General features: G+C 40.0%; 1 protein-coding gene across 32 annotated transcripts in view; it reads left to right on the top strand.

Annotated features, from left to right (window-relative positions):
* N4BP2L2 (NEDD4 binding protein 2 like 2) overlaps positions 1-18,590 on the top strand; it is a 106,384-nt gene extending 87,794 nt beyond the window's left edge. For 27 of the 32 annotated variants that reach the window (NR_170379.1, NR_170389.1, NR_170385.1 and 24 more), the window contains 4 exons: positions 6,949-8,687; positions 12,338-12,423; positions 14,670-14,714; positions 18,103-18,590. Coding sequence is in view for 18 of the 32 variants with exons in the window: in NM_001278432.2 (NP_001265361.1) it covers positions 6,949-8,687; positions 12,338-12,423; positions 14,670-14,693 (1,849 nt within the window). In the remaining 14 variants the exon portion in view is untranslated. Of the gene's footprint in view, positions 1-4,594; positions 4,717-6,948; positions 8,688-12,337; positions 12,424-12,503; positions 12,631-14,669; positions 14,715-18,102 lie in introns of those variants that run through there. The other 5 variants (XR_007063657.1, XR_007063656.1, NR_170388.1 and 2 more) reach the window with 4 other exon arrangements.
* Positions 18,591-20,201: the final 1,611 nt, after the last annotated feature.

Genomic DNA, 20,201 nt, shown 5'->3' with positions numbered 1-20,201 from the left:
GTGTCTTTCCTTTTTAATGTGAATGTTTATGCAAATATCCCTTTAAGTATCACATTTTAGGCCAGGTGCGGTGGCTCACACCTGTATTCCCAGCACTTTGGGAGGCTGAGGCAGGCAGATCATTTGAATCCAGGAGTTCGAGACCAGCCTGGACAGCATGGAGAACACGTCAGAAAGAGAGAGAGAGAGAGAGAGAGAGAGAGAAGGGGATGGGGTGGGAGGGAGGGAGGGAAGGAAGGGAAACAAGGGAAAGAAGGGAAGGAAAGGAAGGAAAGAAAAAGAGCCAGGCATGGTGGCGCTGCTGTAGTCCCAGCTACTCTGGAGTCTGAGACAGGAGAATCACTTGAACCCTGGAGGTAGAGGCTGCAGTGAGCTGTGATCACATCACTGCACTCCAGCCTGGGTAACAGAGCAAGATTCTGTCTTATAAAAAAAAAACAAAAACAAAAAAAGCCGGGCGCAGTGGCTCACGCCTCTAATCCCAGCACTTTGGGAGGCCGAGGCGGGCAGATCACAAGGTCATGAGATCGAGACCGTCCTGGTTAACACAGTGAAACCCCGTCTCTACTAAAAATACAAAAAATTAACCGGGCATGGTTGCAGGCGCCTGTAGTCCCAGCTACTTGGGAGGCTGAGGCAGGAGAATGGCCTGAACCTGGGAGGCGGAGCTTGCAGTGAGCCAAGATCGCGCCACTGCACTCCAGCCTGGGTGACAGAGTGAGACTCCATCTCAAAAAAAAAAAAAATCACTTTTTATATATAATTTTTTTACTGTTATTCAGTTCTAAGTATTTCCATTATAATTTTTCTACCTATTCATTTTTCCATGTTTACAATTTTTTCCAAAAAATTTATTGTTACTAATTTCAAAGTTAACTATATTATGGTCCGTACATTAGTAATTCTTTGAAATCTGTGGAGGTCTAGCTTTATGGCCTAGTTAATTTCTATAGATATTATATGTGAGCATGAAAAGAATGTGTTTTCACCAATTGTTGGATGTGGTGTTCCATATTAGTGCACTCAATCATTATTATGCTAGTTAAACTTCTGTGTCTTTGTCTCATTGTTCTATCAATTACTGAGAAAGGTGTTTTAATCTCTGAGAAAGATGGTGAATTTATCACTTTGTCTATATATGGCCACTTAGTTTAAAAAAATTTTTTTCCACTTCCAATCATTTGCAATTACATTAAGTAAATTACATTTTTGGAGAATTTTCCAGTTCTTCTAACTCAACTGTTTGTTTTAAGTAAATCATAAGTATCACATTGCCACATTCTACTCTTGAATTGCATCGTGGGAGTCTCAGTGAAATTTATAAGATTGCTTTTGTTGTTGTTAATACATAATAAAAATAAGAGCTGCCATTTATGAAGTACCCACTATGTGTCAAGCATTGTGCTAGGTGCTTTATTTATAATTAAAGCCCTCGTCTCTAACATGATTGGGACAGAAAGCTGGTTAGTTCATTGAAAAAAATTGTTTAAAGAATTATTATGAAATGATACATACTTTAAACATTTTATTTGAACTTAAAATACATGTTTTTATATGTATTTATTCAGCAATTTTTATGTATAATTTTGTTCAGTGCAGTTTAACTTTTTTCATGCATAAACCACATCTGTAATGTGTAGTCAAGAATTTCTAGTTTCTGTTGATATAAATTGGAAGTAGAACCCAAAGAAATATTCAAAGCAATATGAGTGCATAATCATAGGTCTTTATTATTTTCAACCAAATTTTATAGTTATGCTGCCTATTTAACAGCTGTTTAGCACTTCATGTTTAGTGAGACAAACTACATAATTATAGTAAAAACTATTATTGGCATAAACAGACTTGCGAATAAACCCATCTGACTCCTTATAAATATACAGTTCTAAACAGTGACAGCAAAAGGGTGCAGTTACACTGGAGAGCAGCCATCTAGCTGGGAGCATTTAGTGTGAGTCATTAATATCAGTCATTGTACAGAGGCAATGGAGAGAATCAATTGATCTGCTCTATCAGTTGAGTAGAGGTTATTTAAGAGCATCTGTATTAGTGGTCCTTACAACAACTTTGCAAGGAGGGGTATTTTCCTCATTTTGGAAAGACATGATTTGCCCAAGATCCCACTGCTAACTGAGGGATCCCACTGCTAGCTAAGGCCTGGACTTCGCTATTACTGAGCCAGGACCAGGACCTGGGCCTCAGTTATTTCAACTGGTCATTCCAGAAAGCCATGAGACCTTTTATCATCTGCATGTGTTTTAATCTCAGATTTACTTCATTTATTGCCCGTTATCATAAATTAGTATATAGGATTCTGCATTGGGAAATGTTTTTTTCTGGCCCCCCCTTAATTATATTTTTTCATGAGGGTTATCACTTACCATGCTTTCCACCCTCCCTTCCTGCTTTCTTCAGCTTTATCTGGATGCTCTCTCACCTTTGTCATCAGGTCACAGTTCACTTGGTCAGATTAGCTTGTATCTGAACAAACACTTTCTAATTCCTGAGAGGTACACTCCATTGCTCCCTAGGAGCTTGGATTCTAAGCCATCATCTAGAAAGCAAAATCTTACTCATCATAGATGTGTTACCATTTGTTCATTTCTTATTTTCTTCTTTCTTTTAAAAGCTACATCCTGTGCCTCTAACTCTTGTGATTTCCTCTCCATGACTAACTTTTATTTAGTGATTTTTTTTCTTCTAATGGTACCATTCATTCCTAAATGAATCAGCACCAGTGAGATCACATTTAATGATCCTTGACACAGCTTTGATGAGATTCTCACACTTTCTAGATAGATGTTTCTAAAGAAAATGCATCTACTGATTAGCCACATTCAAGCAGAAGTTATCACCACCACCATCACTACCAAGTCTCTTATTTCCCAGGGGCTTCACAAGTCACTGTTATTGGTTTGTGTTTCCTTTCCAGAAGGCCATGTCCACTGTTTCTGAAATGAGGAGGGTAGCTATATAGAGCTCCAGTGGTGCAGAACTGGTACATGTCTCTGGCACTTCACTGTGGAGTCAGATTTTCATACCTCTTGGCATTGTGTTGTATTTTCAGTTGGAATTCTAATCCTTAGAGATTCCTTTGATTAACTCTTAGCAAACTGCCTTAATAAATTGCCTGATCTCCCAAACTCTGATAGTTTACTTTTTAAGCCACTTTATTCTTTCATGGTCCAGTGTTTACTTCTCTGCAGGCATAGTGGGTTGTTAGCATTAGCAGGTCCTTCCCTAGAAAGCAGACTTAGGAGAAAAAAAAACAACGAAAAAAAGACATTAGCAGGGTCCTTATTATCCTTTTCTGAAGCAGCTGATTGTAATCTGCTTAGAAAACAAAGCAACTCTTGGGGAGTATTAGAGAAGCCCTCTTTTTTTTCCACTTTCTGAACTCTTTTTTAATGACAGATTAGCCTATTCTGAGCTGGACTTTGAGGGAACTGATTTACCAACCCTCTCTCCAAACCCATATCTTGCAGACTTTTATGTTGCAGTAAGTAGCCACTTCATCCCTCTAATTAGGCCAATATCCTTGTACTCATACTTGATTCTTATCTTTTTCCTCATACCCTATATCTGATTTATTTTCAAATCTTGCTTATTTTTCCTTCAAAACAGTATCCAGAATGTGATCCCTTCTCACTGCCTCCACCCCATGAGTGAATTAACTCCAGGAGGAGTCACTTGTGCCCATCTGTTGATCTCAGCTGTGGGCCATCTAGTCTGGCTTTCCCATTGCTCATATGGAGTCTTGACATGAGGGCAGATTAGGGAGAGAGATCCTGCTCCACAGTATCTCCTCTCACTTCCTCTTGTTGTTTCTTTTTTGATTTGATCCAGAGAAAGGAGAGGCAACAGAAGAAAAGTGTCAAGATACTATTAAGTTAGTGATAACAGGAGTCAGGGCCCAAGAACTGCTCTCATGAAAAGGACTCAACCCTTGCCAGCTGAGTATCTTCTGTTTATGCACATGTGAGGGTTTGAAAATGAGAGGAGGAAGAAAAAGAGAGAAGGAAATGTTTTGTACAATTTTCTCTTTAAATCGAGAGGCAGTGTTGCATAATGGTTAAGGAGTGTGGACTTCAGAGCGAATCAAACTAGGTCTGAACCTGCCACTAGCCATGTGACCCTGAGCACATTCTTCAACTTCTCTGTATATCAGTTGTCTTTGTAAGATGGGGTTAAAACTAGCCTTTGCCCTTACTTGATACAGTTTTGAAGATTAGGTGAATTGGTACATGTAAAGCAATTAAACAGTCCCAATACATAATAAGTGTAACATCTTTTTTTAAAAGCCAATTTTCCAAGTGCAATTGTAGACCTTAGTCTTTCTGCTGGTATATGGAATTATAAACATTTTGGTGATGAAGTGTGTTTCAGTAACTGCATTTCCCTAGATTAGGGCTCTCTTTCTTTGTACAGTAGAGAGCTGTTCTGAGGGACAGTGACTATACATTAAGTGCATTAAACTCCACAGAATCACCAGTGCTGCAGTGAGTCTCTTACGTCATTAGTATTTTACCATTTAATCGAATGAATAACGCAACAACAAACTCTATTTGTTCTTTTTCTCCTTGCCCTGCAACAGGATGGTTCACATTTGAGTAAAGACAGGGGAGTTTGTTTTCAGAATGACATACTAGTCTGCAGGATGAATTTCATAACTGACATTGCACCTTGGACTGCAACTAGGACTTTCACTGGAATCAGGTAGAACTGGCCATGAAGGAGAGTTACAACCACAGATAGCACTCTTTACTCAATATCCTTTTTATAGAGGCCCCATCACAACTGTTTCTAGGTACATTAGTGTTCCTTAGAGTATTTTCTAAACCAATATCTAGAAATGTGTAAACAAGGGCAGCAGCAATTAGTGACAAAGAACAAGATTTTCATGTGTCCTACCTATTGAAAATTGCCCAGCATATGGAATAAACCAGGCTAGTGGCTGGGGGTAGGTTTAATCTCATTTGTCCAATGCCCAGCCAATCAACTGACTATTCTCTTTTCCGCATCATCTCTTTCTTCTTCCAGGTTTGTTTGCTTGCTTTTCTATTCCTCTGTCCTGGATTTTTCCCTCAGCGGTGTCAATTGTCCTTCCTCTACTACATTTTACTAAGTCTTCATTGTCACCTTGACCCTGACTCTGATTATCCAGGGTGAAAGACAGGATAACTAGATCTTTATATTCTAAATTAGAAAATTTCCTAAATCCTCCTTTCTCTCTTAGGATCAAATATTGTCTTCCGTTAAAGGGAGCTATGAACTTTCAGTGTGCTGGATGAAACACCATTGTTCTTTTGGGTGGGATAATTTTTCACTGGGCATTGCAGGATGGTTAGCTTCCCTGGCCTCAGGCCCAAATGCCTGATATTGGTAATGTGTGGTAACACATTACCAGTCATTCTGACCACCAAAAATGCCTTTACACATTTCCAAGTACCCCACAGAGTAGTAGTGTAGTCTCTGGTTAGAACCACTACAATCTGGGCAATTAGCAGCATGCCACTCAAATACCGGACTCAACAGCTCATTATCAACCATTCTTCATGTCTAGAGGAAATCTAGCTATTAAAGTCACTAAATTTGTCCCATTCTGAAACAGCCACTTCTTAATTTTCAAAATCTAAGATGTTAGGAGGTCCAAGATATTTACTGGTAGGTTTTATGTATATAGTCATGCACCACATAACAAAATTTCAGTCAACAACAGAACATATATATGACAGTGGTCCCATGAGATTATAATACCATATGTTTATGTACCTTTTCTAAGTTCAGATATGTTTTTATTTATTTATTTATTTATTTATTTATTCAGTTGGAGTCTTGCCCTGTGGGCCAGGCTGGAGTGCAATGGCACAATCTTGGCTCACTGCATCCTGTGCCTCCCGGGTTCAAGTGATTGTCCTGTCTCTGGCTCCAGAGTAGCTAGGATTATAGGAGTGAACCACCACGCCCAGCTAATTTTTTTGTATTTTTAGTAGAGACAGGGTTTCGCCACGTTGGCCAGGTTGGTCTCGAACTCCTGACCTCAGGTGATCCACCTACCTCAGCTTCCCAAAGTCGTGGGATTACAGGCGTGAGCCACCATGCCTGGCCTCTAGATATGTTTATATACACAAATACTTACTAATGTTTTATAATTGCCTACAGTATGCAGTGTAGTAACATGCTGTACAATTTTTCAGCCTAGGAGCAATAGGCTATATTATATAGCCTAGGTGTGGTGTAGACTACATCATGTAGATTTGTGTAAGTACACTCTATGATGTTAACACAGTGATGAAATTGCCTAATGACACATTTCTCAGAACATATTCTTGTTAATACATGCTTATATATGAAGTATTTTCTTTAAGGAAAATATTAGGTTTTTATAAAGTTATTTATGAAATGATTATATGCATATTAGCTTTAACTTTCTCAAAGTGTACTCATTTTTAATGTATAGGATTAAAATATCTCTTTTTAAAAGTGATTTTAAATATAGTACAAAGTATGGCCAGCGCAGTGGCTCATGCCTGTAATCCCAGCACTTTGGGAGGCTGAGGCAGGCGGATCACCTGAGATCAGGAGTTCAGGACTAGCCTGGCCAACATGGTGAAACCCCGTCTCTACTAAAAATACAAAAAAATTAGACAAGCGTGGTGGTGGGCACCCATAATACCAGCTACTTGCGAGGATGAGGCAGGAGAATTGCTTGAACCCGGGAGGCAGAGGTTGCAGTGAACCAAGATCACACCACTGCACTCCAGCCTAGGCAATGAAGCGAGACTCCATCTCAAAACAAACAAACAAACAAAGAAAAAGTACGTGCACACTTGAGAGTCTCTTGTACTAAAGGTTTTTAAACCTGCACATGAAGAGTATGATGTTATAGTTTGCTTATGTTATACATGTAATTAAGTCATACATTTTCTTAATTCTTTAATATTTCAGAGAAAGAGTTTTGAAGAAAACTGGGCATAGGCTCAGCAAAACCAAACAGAAGAGGAACAGAAAAAGAAACAAAAAGCAGAACAGTCAGAATAGAATCATGGAGGAAAACTCATTAGAATTCTTAAGTGATCTTACACCGGGAGATCAGGACCCATCTCAGAGTGAAGAGGAAGACATTGAAAAGACCAGAAGAGAATCAGAATATCCCTTCATTGATGGTCTACAAAATGAAGTCGGAGATTTTGTGACTGGATATAAAGAAAAAAGATGGAAAAATAAAGATCCTAAAGACAGTTTCCAAAACGTTATGTCTATAGTTGAATTAGACAACACACCAAAGAATTACCTCTCTAAGGAAGGTGATAACTTGTTTGTAAGTTTGTTACTGAGGCCAAATGAAATCTCCGTTACTTGTCCAATACTGACTCAAAACCTTTCCTGTGTAACAACTGATGACTGCTCTGGCATGAAGGTAGAAAAGCATATTAGAAATAGGCATACCATAGCATTAGACACCCAGGACCTTTCTGCGGAAACTTCATGCTTATTTATGAAGAAGAGAGAAATAGTAGATAAAAATCTCTCACATGAACCCATTCTGTGCCATCAACATGGAATCAGAATGTCAGATAAAGTTTTAAGAGAGGAACAAGTGTATACAACTAAAATCAATCACTGGGCTTTTTTCACAACCAATTTATCTGATGAAGATTTACAGCTGGGCTCTGACAGACAGCCCTATTTTGGTAGCTGGCCTGCAGGACCTCATAAGTTTATATGTGAACAGAGACCAAAGAAAGATAGAGCATGTAAGTTGGCTGGTCCTGACAGCAGGGGGCAATGGATTCAAATGATCTTCACTTCGGTGGCAGCATCAGAACCAGGAAACAATCCAGAAATATTGACAGACAAACTACTGATAGGAAATGAAGATTTTTCACCTCCACCTGAAACTATGGATTCATTCATAGAAACAAACCTCTTCAGAAGCTGCTTACCTCAACCGGATATACCAAAGAATGCCTTAGAATCAACAAAAAATAAGAAAAGGAGGAAGAAAAGGATTTTCAATTTGGTACCAAATTTTGACTTATTAGGACAGAGTCGTATCGGTGTAAAAGAAAGGGAGAAATGTGACCTGTTAACAAAAAACCATGGACTAAAAATTACTTTGGGAGAAGAAAAAGATAGAATTTCAGAAAGGAACAGTGAAGAGGAGAATAAACAAAAACTTATGACCTTTGATCATCATCCATTGTGGTTTTACCTTGATATTATCAAAGCTACCCCTTTAAATATTGATGGACAGCGTTATTCTCATTGCCTGTCATTTAACAGACTAAGGTGCTCTGCATCTTTATACAAAAATTATATTCCTTCTTTTGTGCTACATAATTTATCTAGTATTTGGAAGCCATCTTTTACAAACAAGAAACTGTTTTTGACTTTCGAATCTCAGACAAGAGTAGGTAATAAACTAAATGATGCAGGGTTTATTTCTCCAGAAATTTTACATAGTCATCCTGATACTTCGTGCTCTTTGGGAGTCACTTCTGATTTTCACTTTTTAAATGAAAGGTTTGATAGAAAGCTGAAAAGATGGGAAGAACCTAAGGAATTACCAGCTGAGGACAGCCAAGACTTAACAAGCACTGACTACCGTTCCCTTGAGCTACCATTATCACAAGGGTTTGCCTTTCAATTAGTAAAGCTTTTTGGATCTCCAGGCGTTCCAATGGGTAAGTTGTTTTCTTTTGCTAAAAGTAAAAGATCCAGTTTAACATATGTAAGTAATTCTGGAGGTGTTTCTACCTGGTGGTTAGTGATCTCATGCAGTTTATTAATCTCGTGATGCTTTTCAGCAGTGAGTGAGGATCCATAGCAAACGGTGCTTGATCTTCAAAGTCCCCACCCTTTGCTGTCGGTAGTCTTCATGTCTCTTTCAATGTCTTTGAGAACTTAGAATACTTGGGCTCTCAATTTCAATAGATACTGGGAAGAATGGAGGATGAAGCAGGCAAAAAGGGATTATGTAATCAGTAGAGATAGGCTGCTTTATTTATCGCTCTGTCTCCCAGGCTGTAGCGCAGTGGCGTGATCTCGGCTCACTGCAAGCTCCGCCTCCCGGGTTCACGCCATTCTCCTGCCTCAGCCTCCCAAGTAACTGGGACTACAGGCGCCCGCCACCACGCCCGGCTATTTATTTATTTATTTATTTATTTATTTATTTATTTATTTTGTATTTTTAGTAGAGACGAGGTTTCACCATGTTAGCCAGGATGGTCTTGATCTCCTGACCTCGTGATCCGCCCGCCTCGGCCTCCCAAAGTGCTGGGATTACAGGCGTGAGCCACCGCGCCCGGCCAAACCTTTCTACTTTCTTTTTTTATATTTATTTATTTATTTATTTATTTATTTATTTATTTATTTATTTATGTTTTTGAGAGGGAGTTTCGCTCTTGTCGCCCAGGCTGGAGTGCAATGGTGTGATCTCGGCTCACTGCAACCTCCACTTCCCGGGTTCAAGCAATTCTCCTGCCTCAGCCTCCTGAGTAGCTGGGATTACAGGCATCCGCCACCATACCCAGCTAATTTTTGTATTATTAGTAGAGACAGGGTTTCACCATGTTGGCCAGGTTGGTCTCCAACTCCTGACCTCAGGTGATCTACCCGCCTCAGCCTCCCAAAGTGCTGGGATTACAGGCCTGAACCACCAGGCCACCAGAAAAGAAACTCTACTTTCTACCTTTATTTTGTTTGACACGTGGCTCTTTCCTTTCTCATTCACTATTATAGCTCCCAAATACAACATTAGTAAATGGCAGATTGCAAAGATTACATGAAGGAAAGATATCTGAAATAATTGAATTTACTTTTTAAAGGCAGTCTGAAAAGGATACTGAAGGGATGAGGTGGAAGCCTGACTAGTTGACTTAAAAGCTTCCTTCAGGCTCTTAAGGTTGTTATTTTGGGGCTGGATGTGGTGGCTCACACCTGTAATCCTAGCACTTTGGGATGCTGAGGTGGGATGATTGCTTGAGGTCAGGAGTTTGAGACCAGCCTGGCTAACATGACGAAAACATGCCTCTACTAAAAATACAAAAATTAGCCGGGCGTGGTGGCGTGTGCCTGTAATCCTAGCTACTTAGGAGGCTGAGGCAGGAGAACCACTTGAACCTGCCTGGGAGGCAGAGGTCGCAGTGAGCCGAGATCACACCACTGCACTCCCAGCCTGGGTGACTGAGCGAGACTCCCTGTCAAAAAAAAAAAAAAAAGATTGTTATTTTTGGAAATGAAAAAATCTACATGTGAATAAAACGAGCAAAAATATGATTTTTTAATATTCCAACTAAATTTCTTTTTGGGCCGGCCACAGTGGCTCATGCCTGTAATCCCAGCACTTTGGGAGGCTGAGGCAGGTGGATCACCTGAGGTGAGGAGTTCGAGACCAGCCTGGCCAACATGGTGAAACCCTGTCTCTACTAAAAATACAAAAATTAGCCAGGAATTGTGGCACATGCCTGTAAACCTAGTTAGGAGGCTGAGGCAGGATAATTGCTTGAACCTGGGAGGCGGAGGTTGCAGTGAACTGAGATCGCGCCACTGCACTCCAGCCTGGGTGATAGAGTAAGACTCTTTCAAAAAAAAAATTTTGTCTTAAATCATAAGCATATATAAGATAATGTCTTTATGATATTTATCCCAGCTTTTCCTTATCTGTAACTCAATAGCTGATATTTTCTAGTGCTGTTCCTTGGGGACAGAAGCTGTAAGACTCAAGAGGCCAAAGCTCCAATTTTTGCAGTTCTCCTGTATCTTCTGTTGTTCTATACCTCTCAGCGTTCCTTGGGGACCCATTTCGTCTCAAAGCTTGTCATCCTGAGTTTTTTAACTTGGCTCCTAAGCTTCTGATGTTCCAGATAAATTTGGTCCCACAGGTGAGACCAAAGATTGACTAAGTCCTAGGGCCAAGGAGTCATAATTATCAACCTGCTTTTGGGGCTCTGGCATCATATTTATCATATTTGTAAACTTTGTGAATAATTACATCTTGACTATTTGCTGTAATTTTTCTTTTTCCTTTTCTTTTTTTTTTTTTTTGAGACGGAGTCTCGCTCTGCCACCCAGGCTAGAGTGCAGTGGTGAGATCTTGGCTCACTGCAACCTCTGCCTCCCGGGTTCAAGCAATTCTCCTGCCTCAGCTTCCCAAGTAGGTGGGATTACAGGTGCCCGCCACTGCGCCCGGCTAATTTTTTTTTTTTTTTTTTTTGGATTCTTAATAGAGATGGGGTTTCACCATCCTGGCCGAGCTGGTCTCCAACTCCTGACCTCATGATCCACCCACCTCGGCCTCCCAAAGTGCTGGGATTACAGGCATGAGCCACCACGCCCAGCCTATTTGTTGTAATTTTTCTACCCGCCTACTAACACCAAAGAAACATACCAATTTTTTTCAAAGTAAATGCTTTTGCTTTCGGGAGCTTTAAGTGATAACTGAAGACATTTTAGTTCTGAGATCGTAGTCCAAGGTCCATATTCTGAAATTGTATGTAAAATTTTGGGGGTTATTTTGTGCCATTTTTTTGGGGAGAAGTCCATAGATTTAATCGGCTCCTCAGAGGGGTCTATGATGCAAAAAGATTAGCAATCACTGCCTTAGAGGGGCACCAGAATGCATCAAGACACTATTGTGAAAAGATTCTATGCCTCGCTTACCTTGAGTGCATGATGTCATCATAATCAACAATGATCAAGCATCCGTTAATTAAACTTCAGAAAGCTTTTTAAAGGAAATAGACCTCATTCATCAACTAGCTTACCTTCTAAATTGGGAGACAAGACTAACATAAAATAAAATTAGTGCATATAGAAAATATAAATGATAAGCTTATGAATATTTTATGAGTGACATTAATAGTGCTAAAAGGATTGTAGAAGAGAATTTGAGGTTATAGTTTTCTCTGGAATGCCTTACATGTGGAAGTGCATTATAAGCCGTGTTTGTACAAGGGAAAAAGAATGTAGCTTGAAAGAAAAGCAGAGGGAAAGAATTTCATATTTGGAAATGGCATGTACTTGAAAGAGATAAAGAGAAAACCATAAGTAGAGGCTACGAAGCGATTTGTTTGGCTAGATTGGACGAGCCAAGCTCATGGTCAGTGGCCTTGCAAATAAGGCAAGAACTCAAATGAATCCTAGTATTGGAGTCTGGATAGTGTTTACTAATTGAGATCTGAGACAAACTCCAGCTTTAGACATCACCGAAATATCTTTAAAACCAGACTTTTAATGGTATGGTGAATTAGAGATCAGGTTTGCATGTCTTCACAGTTAGGGCAAAAATCTGTGTGACATTAGAGATGAGATTAGGTCTTTCTTTCTTTCACAGAATCCTTGTTGCCTGATGACTATGTGGTTCCCCTTGACTGGAAGACACTAAAGATGATCTACTTGCAATGGAAGATGTCAGTGGAGGTATATATGTGTGTGTGTGTGTGTGTATGTATTTTTGTTGTTGTTGTTGTTTGAGACGGAGTTTCATTCTTGTTGCCCAGGCTGGAGTGCAATGGCGTGATCTTGGCTCACCACAACCTCCACCTCCTGGGTTCAAGTAATTCTCCTGCCTCAGCCTCCCTAGTAGCTGGGATTACAGGCATGTGCCACCACACCTGGCCAGTGGAGGTATATTTTTATGGCTTTCAAATAGAAACCACTGTTCTATTCTCTACTTCTATGAGATTAACTTTTTAGATTTCATATATGAGTGAAATCATGCAGTATATATTTTTCTGTGTCTGGCTTATTTCAATTAACATAATTTCTTCCAGGTTCATCCACGTTGTTGCAAATGACAGGATTTCATTCTTTTTTATGGCTGAATATTATTCCATTGTACAAGCTATGGTGTTCATTGCACAGCAGGGTGATTATAGTTAACTATAGTTAACAATAATGCATTATATATTTCAAAATAGCTAGAGGAGAGGATTTTAAATGTTCTGACTACAAAGAAATAATAAATGTTTGAAGTCATATGTATGCTGATTACCATGATTTGATCATTACACAATGTACACACGTATCAAAATACATTGTGCTCATAAATATGTACAATTATTATGTCAATAAAATTTTTTAAATTATGGAATAAAAAATAAAATTTATCAAACTTGAGAGAAGTGCTACATACCTTAAATTAGAAAAAGGATATATATGGATGGGGATGAGTGGATAATATAGGCATGTTTTCTTTCAATTAGTCCAAAGAGAAGGTTACATTTAATTCCCTAACTTTGTGGAGGAATATACAGGTATAAGGACTCACTGGGGATGACTAAGGTGCCCACTGTAGGTGAGTCCTTTATTCTTCATTACATCTTTTCTCCTGTCCGGCCCTCAGTCTTACCCATTATGATAGAGTAACAGCTACAAATTAGATGTGTAGTTACTTGACTTGGAAGCACCTTCCTATTGTTGTGATCTGTGGTCCACAGTGACAGACGTAACTATTCTGAGGGCTGTTCATTTTCCAGGTAGCTGGAGGAGGACTGGCTTGGAAGGTTAGAAGGATGATAGAAAATCTGGAAAAGCCAGTACTTCACCTAACCTAGTGGGGGTGGCTGGGGTTCTGTTCACATTAGTTGGTTATTATTTAAATGTGTCCAGAGGCAATGCTAATGGGTACATTTTGAAGTGAATAGTAAAATCAAAATTTAGTGAATCATTCTAGAACTAATAGTTCAGGACAGTAGGTATTTCTTAACTGTTCTCATAAACACCTCTATGGGCAAAGTAGACTCATTTCGTCTGTCCATTTAATAAAACCAAATACATTTTTCCTCATCTTCTTGTTTCTCCTTATTCCCCATGGAGACATTATTGCCACTTAAAACACACATACACACACACAGAGCAATATTTTAAATGTTTAAATTGACATTTGTGGCCAGGCGTGGTGGCTCATGCCTATAATCCCAGCATTTTGGGAGGCCAAGTTGGGTGGATCACTTGAGGTCAGGAGTTCGAGACCAGCCTGGCCAACATAGTGAAACCCTGTCTCTACTAAAAACACAAAAAAATTAGCCGTGTGTGGTGGCACTTGCCTGTAATCACAGCTACTTGGGAGGCTGAGGCAGGAGAATCACTTGAGCCCAGGAGGCAAAGGTTGCAGTGAGCCAACATTGTGCCACTGCACTCCATCCTGGGCGACAGAGCAAAACTCTGTCTCTAAATAAATAAATAAATAAATAAATAAATAAATAGATAGATATTAGATATTTATAGGTGTTTTCTTTCTTTCTTTCTTTCTTCCTTTCTTTTTTTTTTTTTTTTTTTTTTTTTGACAGTCACACTCTCTCAGCCAGGCTGGAGTGCAGTGGCGTGATCTCAGCTCGCTACAACTTCTGACTCCCAGGTTCAGGTGATTCTCCTGCCTCAGCCTCCCAAGTAGCTGGGACTACAGGCATGCACCACCATACCCAGCTAATTTTTGTATTTTTAGTAGAGACAGGGTTTTGCCATGTTGGCCACGCTGTTCTCAAACTCCTGACCTCAGGTGATCCACCCACCTCGGCCTCCCAAAGTGCTGGGATTACAGGCGTGAGCCACTGTTATATTTCTTTTGTCATTTTAGGAGTGTCCCTACATGAGTAAAATGACAGTGCAAACTTAACTCCAATGCCAAATATTAATATTTTATGTATTTTAATTATAATTTCTAGAAAAGACAGAAGAAGATTGGTTGAAAAATGAAAATTCCTTGAACTGTAAGTATGACTTATTCTAGAGACCTCTGTTTGATCATAAAATAGTTAATCTTGACATTATTTGTTTGTAATAGCTCATATGTATTATAGCACGACTGGAGAGTAAAATATAAAAAATGAAGTTTGTTACCATAGCAACCTTGTGTGCTATTATACATGTGATGTTTTTATTTCCTTTAAGTGTAGATCTTTTTTGAAATACAGCAAAGCTTAGATTGTTGCTCCCAAATTTATTTTCCCACTTTATTGGTTAGAACATATTTTATAACATTCTATCAACACACAATTTATGAGACATTTCCCCCCTTGGGTTGGTATGTGATGAGGGCTGGGAATTAGGGGTGTAGGTTCTACTTAAATATTAGATTCTCTAGGAAAAGAGGTAAAACATATAGACAAACTCATGTTATATTTTAAACTTATCAAGCTGACATTAAAATAAACACATTGCATTTTTTTTCAAATGCCTAAATTATGAAATAAACACAGCTGCTACGATTTCAGTGCATATATGTCTGCATTTGATAAGAATTGAATGCACTATGCATTTACCATACGTTTTTTCATTTTAACTTATTTCTAAGAATATTCTAGTTTCCATTTCTCAACTAGAAAGACATGTATACCCTGTAAAAATGTTTTTTGTTTGTTTTAATCCTGCTTCCCCTGAAAGAAGAGGAAGAACTGAAGATTTGGGAGAAGAGTTTAGAGATTTGCAGGGGCCACTAGAAAAATGTGGGATAAATATGGTACAGGAGGAGATGAGAGACAATGAGGAATTCCAGAGGAAGGAAGTGAAGACATTCATTCAATTATTCAGCAAATGTGGCCAGGTGTGGTGGCTCACGCCTATACTCCCAGCACTTTGGGAGGCCGAGGCAGGCAGTTCACCTGAAGTCAGGAGTTCGAGACCAGCCTAGCCAACATGGCAAAACCCCGTTTCTACTAAAAATACAAAAATTAGCCAGGTGTGGTGGCAGGTGCCTGTAATCCCAGCTACTTGGGAGGCTGAGGCAAGAGAAATGCTTGAACCTGGGAGGCAGAGGTTGTGGTGAGCTGAGATCGCCCCACTGCACTCCAGCCTGGGTGACAGAGCGAGACCCCACCTCAAAAAAAAATTATTCAGCAAATGTTTATTGAGGTGCTCATGTCAGACACTGAAGATATAGCAGTAAAAACACCCCTGCCCTCATGGAATTTATGTTGTAGGGATTTGATTTAACACCATAGCATGTTGGGCAAGGACTTGGCTGAGTGAGCCTCTAGCCTACCTCTGACTGAAGTTAGATTATAGTGAGTGAAGTTCCCCTAGATGGCCCCAACATGAGGAGACACCAGTACAAGCAGCATGCAGCAAGCATGGATATATTTTCCTGTGGCCAATTTCAGGAGTCTTTTCTGTCTGCTAAAATTGGTAGATTTGTGTCAAGGACATTTTGCAACCACAATTTTGATTTTCATGATGATCTCCCACATGTATCCTAAACTGTCGGGTCTTCTCACAGAGCATTCTGCCCTTAATTATTATTTTTTTCTTTTTAGGGAATTTTATGAGTGCTATAGCTATGTGCAGATTTTTTTACTATTTTATTGAGAAAGGGCATCCTGTTTTATGTTTGGCATTAAGTACTGACCAGTCTGTCTCAAGGGGTAAACAGAAATTTAGAAACAGGGAAATAGCAGGAGAATCTGGTTGGCTCTGGGAGCCACAAGTCGGTGCCCATTTACAAATATTCTCCCTGCTGGTTGCCAGGGTGTTTAATGTCATGGCACTCCTTTACGGCAGTGGGGCAGGGTGCTAGGAAGAGGATGGGTCCCCATCTTAAGGCTCCTCCTGACTAGCTGTGTGTGACCCTAAACAGAGGACCCTTCTCAGAGTCTCAGTTTCTTAATTTGTAAAATTTTTATCTTTTAAATGAGGATTAAATGAAATAACTTTGCAAAGTTATTAAATGAAAAAACTGGCCGGGCACGGTGGCTCATGCCTGTAATCCTAGCACTTTGGGAGGCTGAGGCTGGCAGATTGCCCGAGCTCAGGAGTTCGAGACCAGCCTGGGCAACACGGTGAAACCCTGTCTCTACTAAAATACAAAAAAAAAAAAAAGAAAAAAAGAAAATTAGCTGAATGTGGTGGCACACACCTGTAATCCAAGCTACTTGGGAGGCTGAGGCAGGAGAATTGTTTGAACCCGGGAGGCGGAGGTTGCAGTGAGCTGAGATCGCACCACTGCACTCCAGCCTGGATGACAGAGCAAGACTCCATCTCTACAAACAAAACAAAACACAAAAAACTGTGCAAAGTATGGAGCCTAGTGCCTGAAAAATAATAGATTCATAATAAGAGTGAATTCCCTTCCCCTAAATACTGCCTTGGATTAAAGCATTGCCTTTCTTTTTTTCTTTTCTTTTCTTTTTTTTTTTTTTTTTTTGAGACACGGTCTTGCTCTTGTTGCCCAGGCTGGAGTGCAGTGGTGCAATCTCAGCTCACTGCAGTCTCTGCCTTCCTGGGTTCAAGCGATTCTCCACCTCAGCCTCCCAAGTAGCTGGAATTACAGGCGCCCGCCACCATGCCCAGCTAATTTTTTTTTTTGTATTTTTAGTAGAGACGGGGTTTCACCATGTTGGCTAGGCTGGTCTGAAACTCCTAACCTCGTGATTCACCTGCCTTGGCCTCCCAAAGCGCTGGGATTACAGGCATGAGCCACCGTGCCCAGCCTTTTTTATTATTATTATTATTTTGAGATGGAATCTTGCTCTGTCGCCCAGGCTGGAGTACAGTGGCTCACTGCAACCTCCACCTCCCAGGTTCAAGCGATTCTCCTACCTCAGCCTCCTGAATAGCTGGGATTACAGCCCGCCACAACACCCAGCTAATTTTTGTATTTTTATTATTTTAGAGACGGGGTTTTGCCATGTTGGCCAGGCTGGTCTTGAACTCCTGACCTCAGGTGATCTGCCCACCTCGGCCTCCCAAAATGCTGGGATTACAGGCGTGAGCCATTGTGCCCAGCCAAAACATTGCCTTTGAAATGCTCTCTGGCAAAATAGAAATTGTGTTCTTTAGGAGAGGAACATATTGGCCCAGTAAACATGTTAACACATTTGCATGAATTAGTGCATTTATTTTTAATTTTTTGTAATGTACATAGCTGGATCCTCAGGGAATGGGATCTAGAACAAGTTTCAGCTGAAGGACAAGGAGTTGGGAAATGTCAGGGAACAGGCTCTTGAATGAGGCAGGACTAAGCAGTGTAGACTGTGGGGACAGCTGTGAAGTCCTGGATGCCAGGGGAGTGGCATAACTCAGGAAGTAAAGGCTGGGAACCTGAAAACAAACTGTTCATGTCACATGTTTTCTGGTCTTGTCTGGGCTTGTGTTTGCTTGTAGTTGAGTTCTGCTGTCTTCATGGTACTGCTGAAGATCATGATCACGGAGAAAAGTCAGAGTGCTCAGTGCCAACCCAAGGGATTCTTTCCAGAGACGTACCCGTTGGATACCAAAATTAGTTTGGATAATCTGTTCAACCATTCTTGATAAGTTATCTGAATAATAAAAAAACTCAACAGAGGAGGTAACAATTTGAACATTTTATTGTCTAATTTGAAGATGTATGCCATACTTTGTTTGATAGAAGAAAGTAAGGCACAGAAAACTTGAGTACCTTATTTTTAAAACTGCATTAGGATTAAAAGGTTAGCCCCTATATCCAAGTATTGGTCTGAGATCCCATTTCTAGAATTCTGAAATCCAAAAAGCTCTGAAAATCAATAGTTATTTTTCCAAATGTATTCATTGTGGTAAAATACACCAATATAAAATTTACCATCTTAACCACTTTTAAGTGTGTTATAAATACATTCATGCTACCATCACTAGCATCCATCTCTGGAACTCTTTTCATCTTGCAAAACTGCAATTCTATACCCATTAAACAATGACCCATTCCCCTTTCCCCCTTCCCCCTTCCTCCTTCCCCCTTCCCCCTTCCCCTCAGCCCCTGGCAACCACTGTTTCTGTTTTTTAAATAAGTTTGACATTAAAACTAAGTTTGCAGCCAAACCTGACCCAAATACAAGCTGGGCACCGTGGCTCATGCCTGTAATCCCAGCGCTTTGGGAGGCTGAGGCAGGAGGATCACTTGAGCCCAGGAGTTTGAGACCAGTCTGGGCAGCATGGTGAAACCCCATCTTTACAAAAAATACAAAAATTAGCCAGGTGTGGTGGCACGCGCCTGTAGTCCCAGCTACTCAGGAAGCTGAGGCGGGGATGATCGCTTGAGCATGGGAGGCAGAGATTGCAGTGAGCCAAGAAAAAAAAAATACCTGACCCCAAAAGGTAGGCAATTAATTTTACTCCTTATTTATCCCACTTGGAATGTATAAAGTATATTCATATATTTCATTGCAAACATATTAATGTGTTTAACTACAGAGGTCTGCGCCACACCCCACTGGGAATATAGGATAATATACAGTACTATTACCTTTAAACAACAAACACTTTCTGAATTCTGAAGTATATCTGACCTCTACAATTTTGGTTAGGGATTGTGGGACTTGTACTATACTAGAAGTTACTAATATTATTTTTTATTCTGTTTTAGTTTAGTTGTACTTAATAAGCTTAAAATATGAAAATTCATATTTACAAAATATAAATTAAGGAGTGACTACGCACTATTCAACATGTAGACATCAACTTAATCCCCATTTGCAGAAAGAGAGCCCCGGGTCTTATCTTACCCTACTTCTCCCAGATCTTCTGTCTAATCTTCTCGAAGGAGCAAACCTCTAGGCCTGAGGACGGGCAGGCAGCTGCTTAGGGTATGGACATTTGTTTGTTAAACAGACTTGCAACTGCCCTTCTGGTGTAGAGCCCCACCTCCAAATCTTCCAGTTTCTGAGATTTAGGGTTTATGCTGGGTAATTTGTGTTGTTTCTTGGCTGTCTATAAATCAGAGGATTTTTTTTTTTTTTGGCCGAATCAATTAACACTTGGCCTTTTGCTCTCCAGTTTCCAAAAGCTCTTCCTTCACACCTTCTTACTTTTCCACATCTTGTTAAACAGTGATAGTTAGAGAAAAATTTCAATGTTTCTTCATTCGCCAAAAATGGTGTTTATAAGATTATTTTCTTTATGTCCATGACAGTAATGGTTTCTAGTGCAGCAAAGTGAGATCGTGCTGGCTGTTTATGTTACTCCCTTACATTATCACTATCTTGTTCAGCCTTATTTTTATTTATTTATTTATTTGTTTGTTTATTTTTGAGATGGAGTTTCGCTCTTGTTACCCAGGCTGTAGTGCAATAGCGCGATCTCGGTTCACCACAACCTCTGCCTCCCGAGTTCAAGCAATTCTCCTGCCTCAGCCTTCTGAGTAGCTGGGATTACAGGCATATGCCACCACGCCTGGCTAACTTTGTATTTTTAGTAGAGACAGGGTTTCTCCATGTTGGTCAGGCTGGTCTCGAACTCCCGACCTCAGG

The sequence above is a fragment of the Homo sapiens genome, chromosome 13 (assembly GCF_000001405.40).
Source record: "Homo sapiens chromosome 13, GRCh38.p14 Primary Assembly".
Lineage (NCBI taxonomy): Eukaryota > Metazoa > Chordata > Mammalia > Primates > Hominidae > Homo > Homo sapiens.
This window is presented reverse-complemented; position numbering and strand designations above follow the sequence as displayed.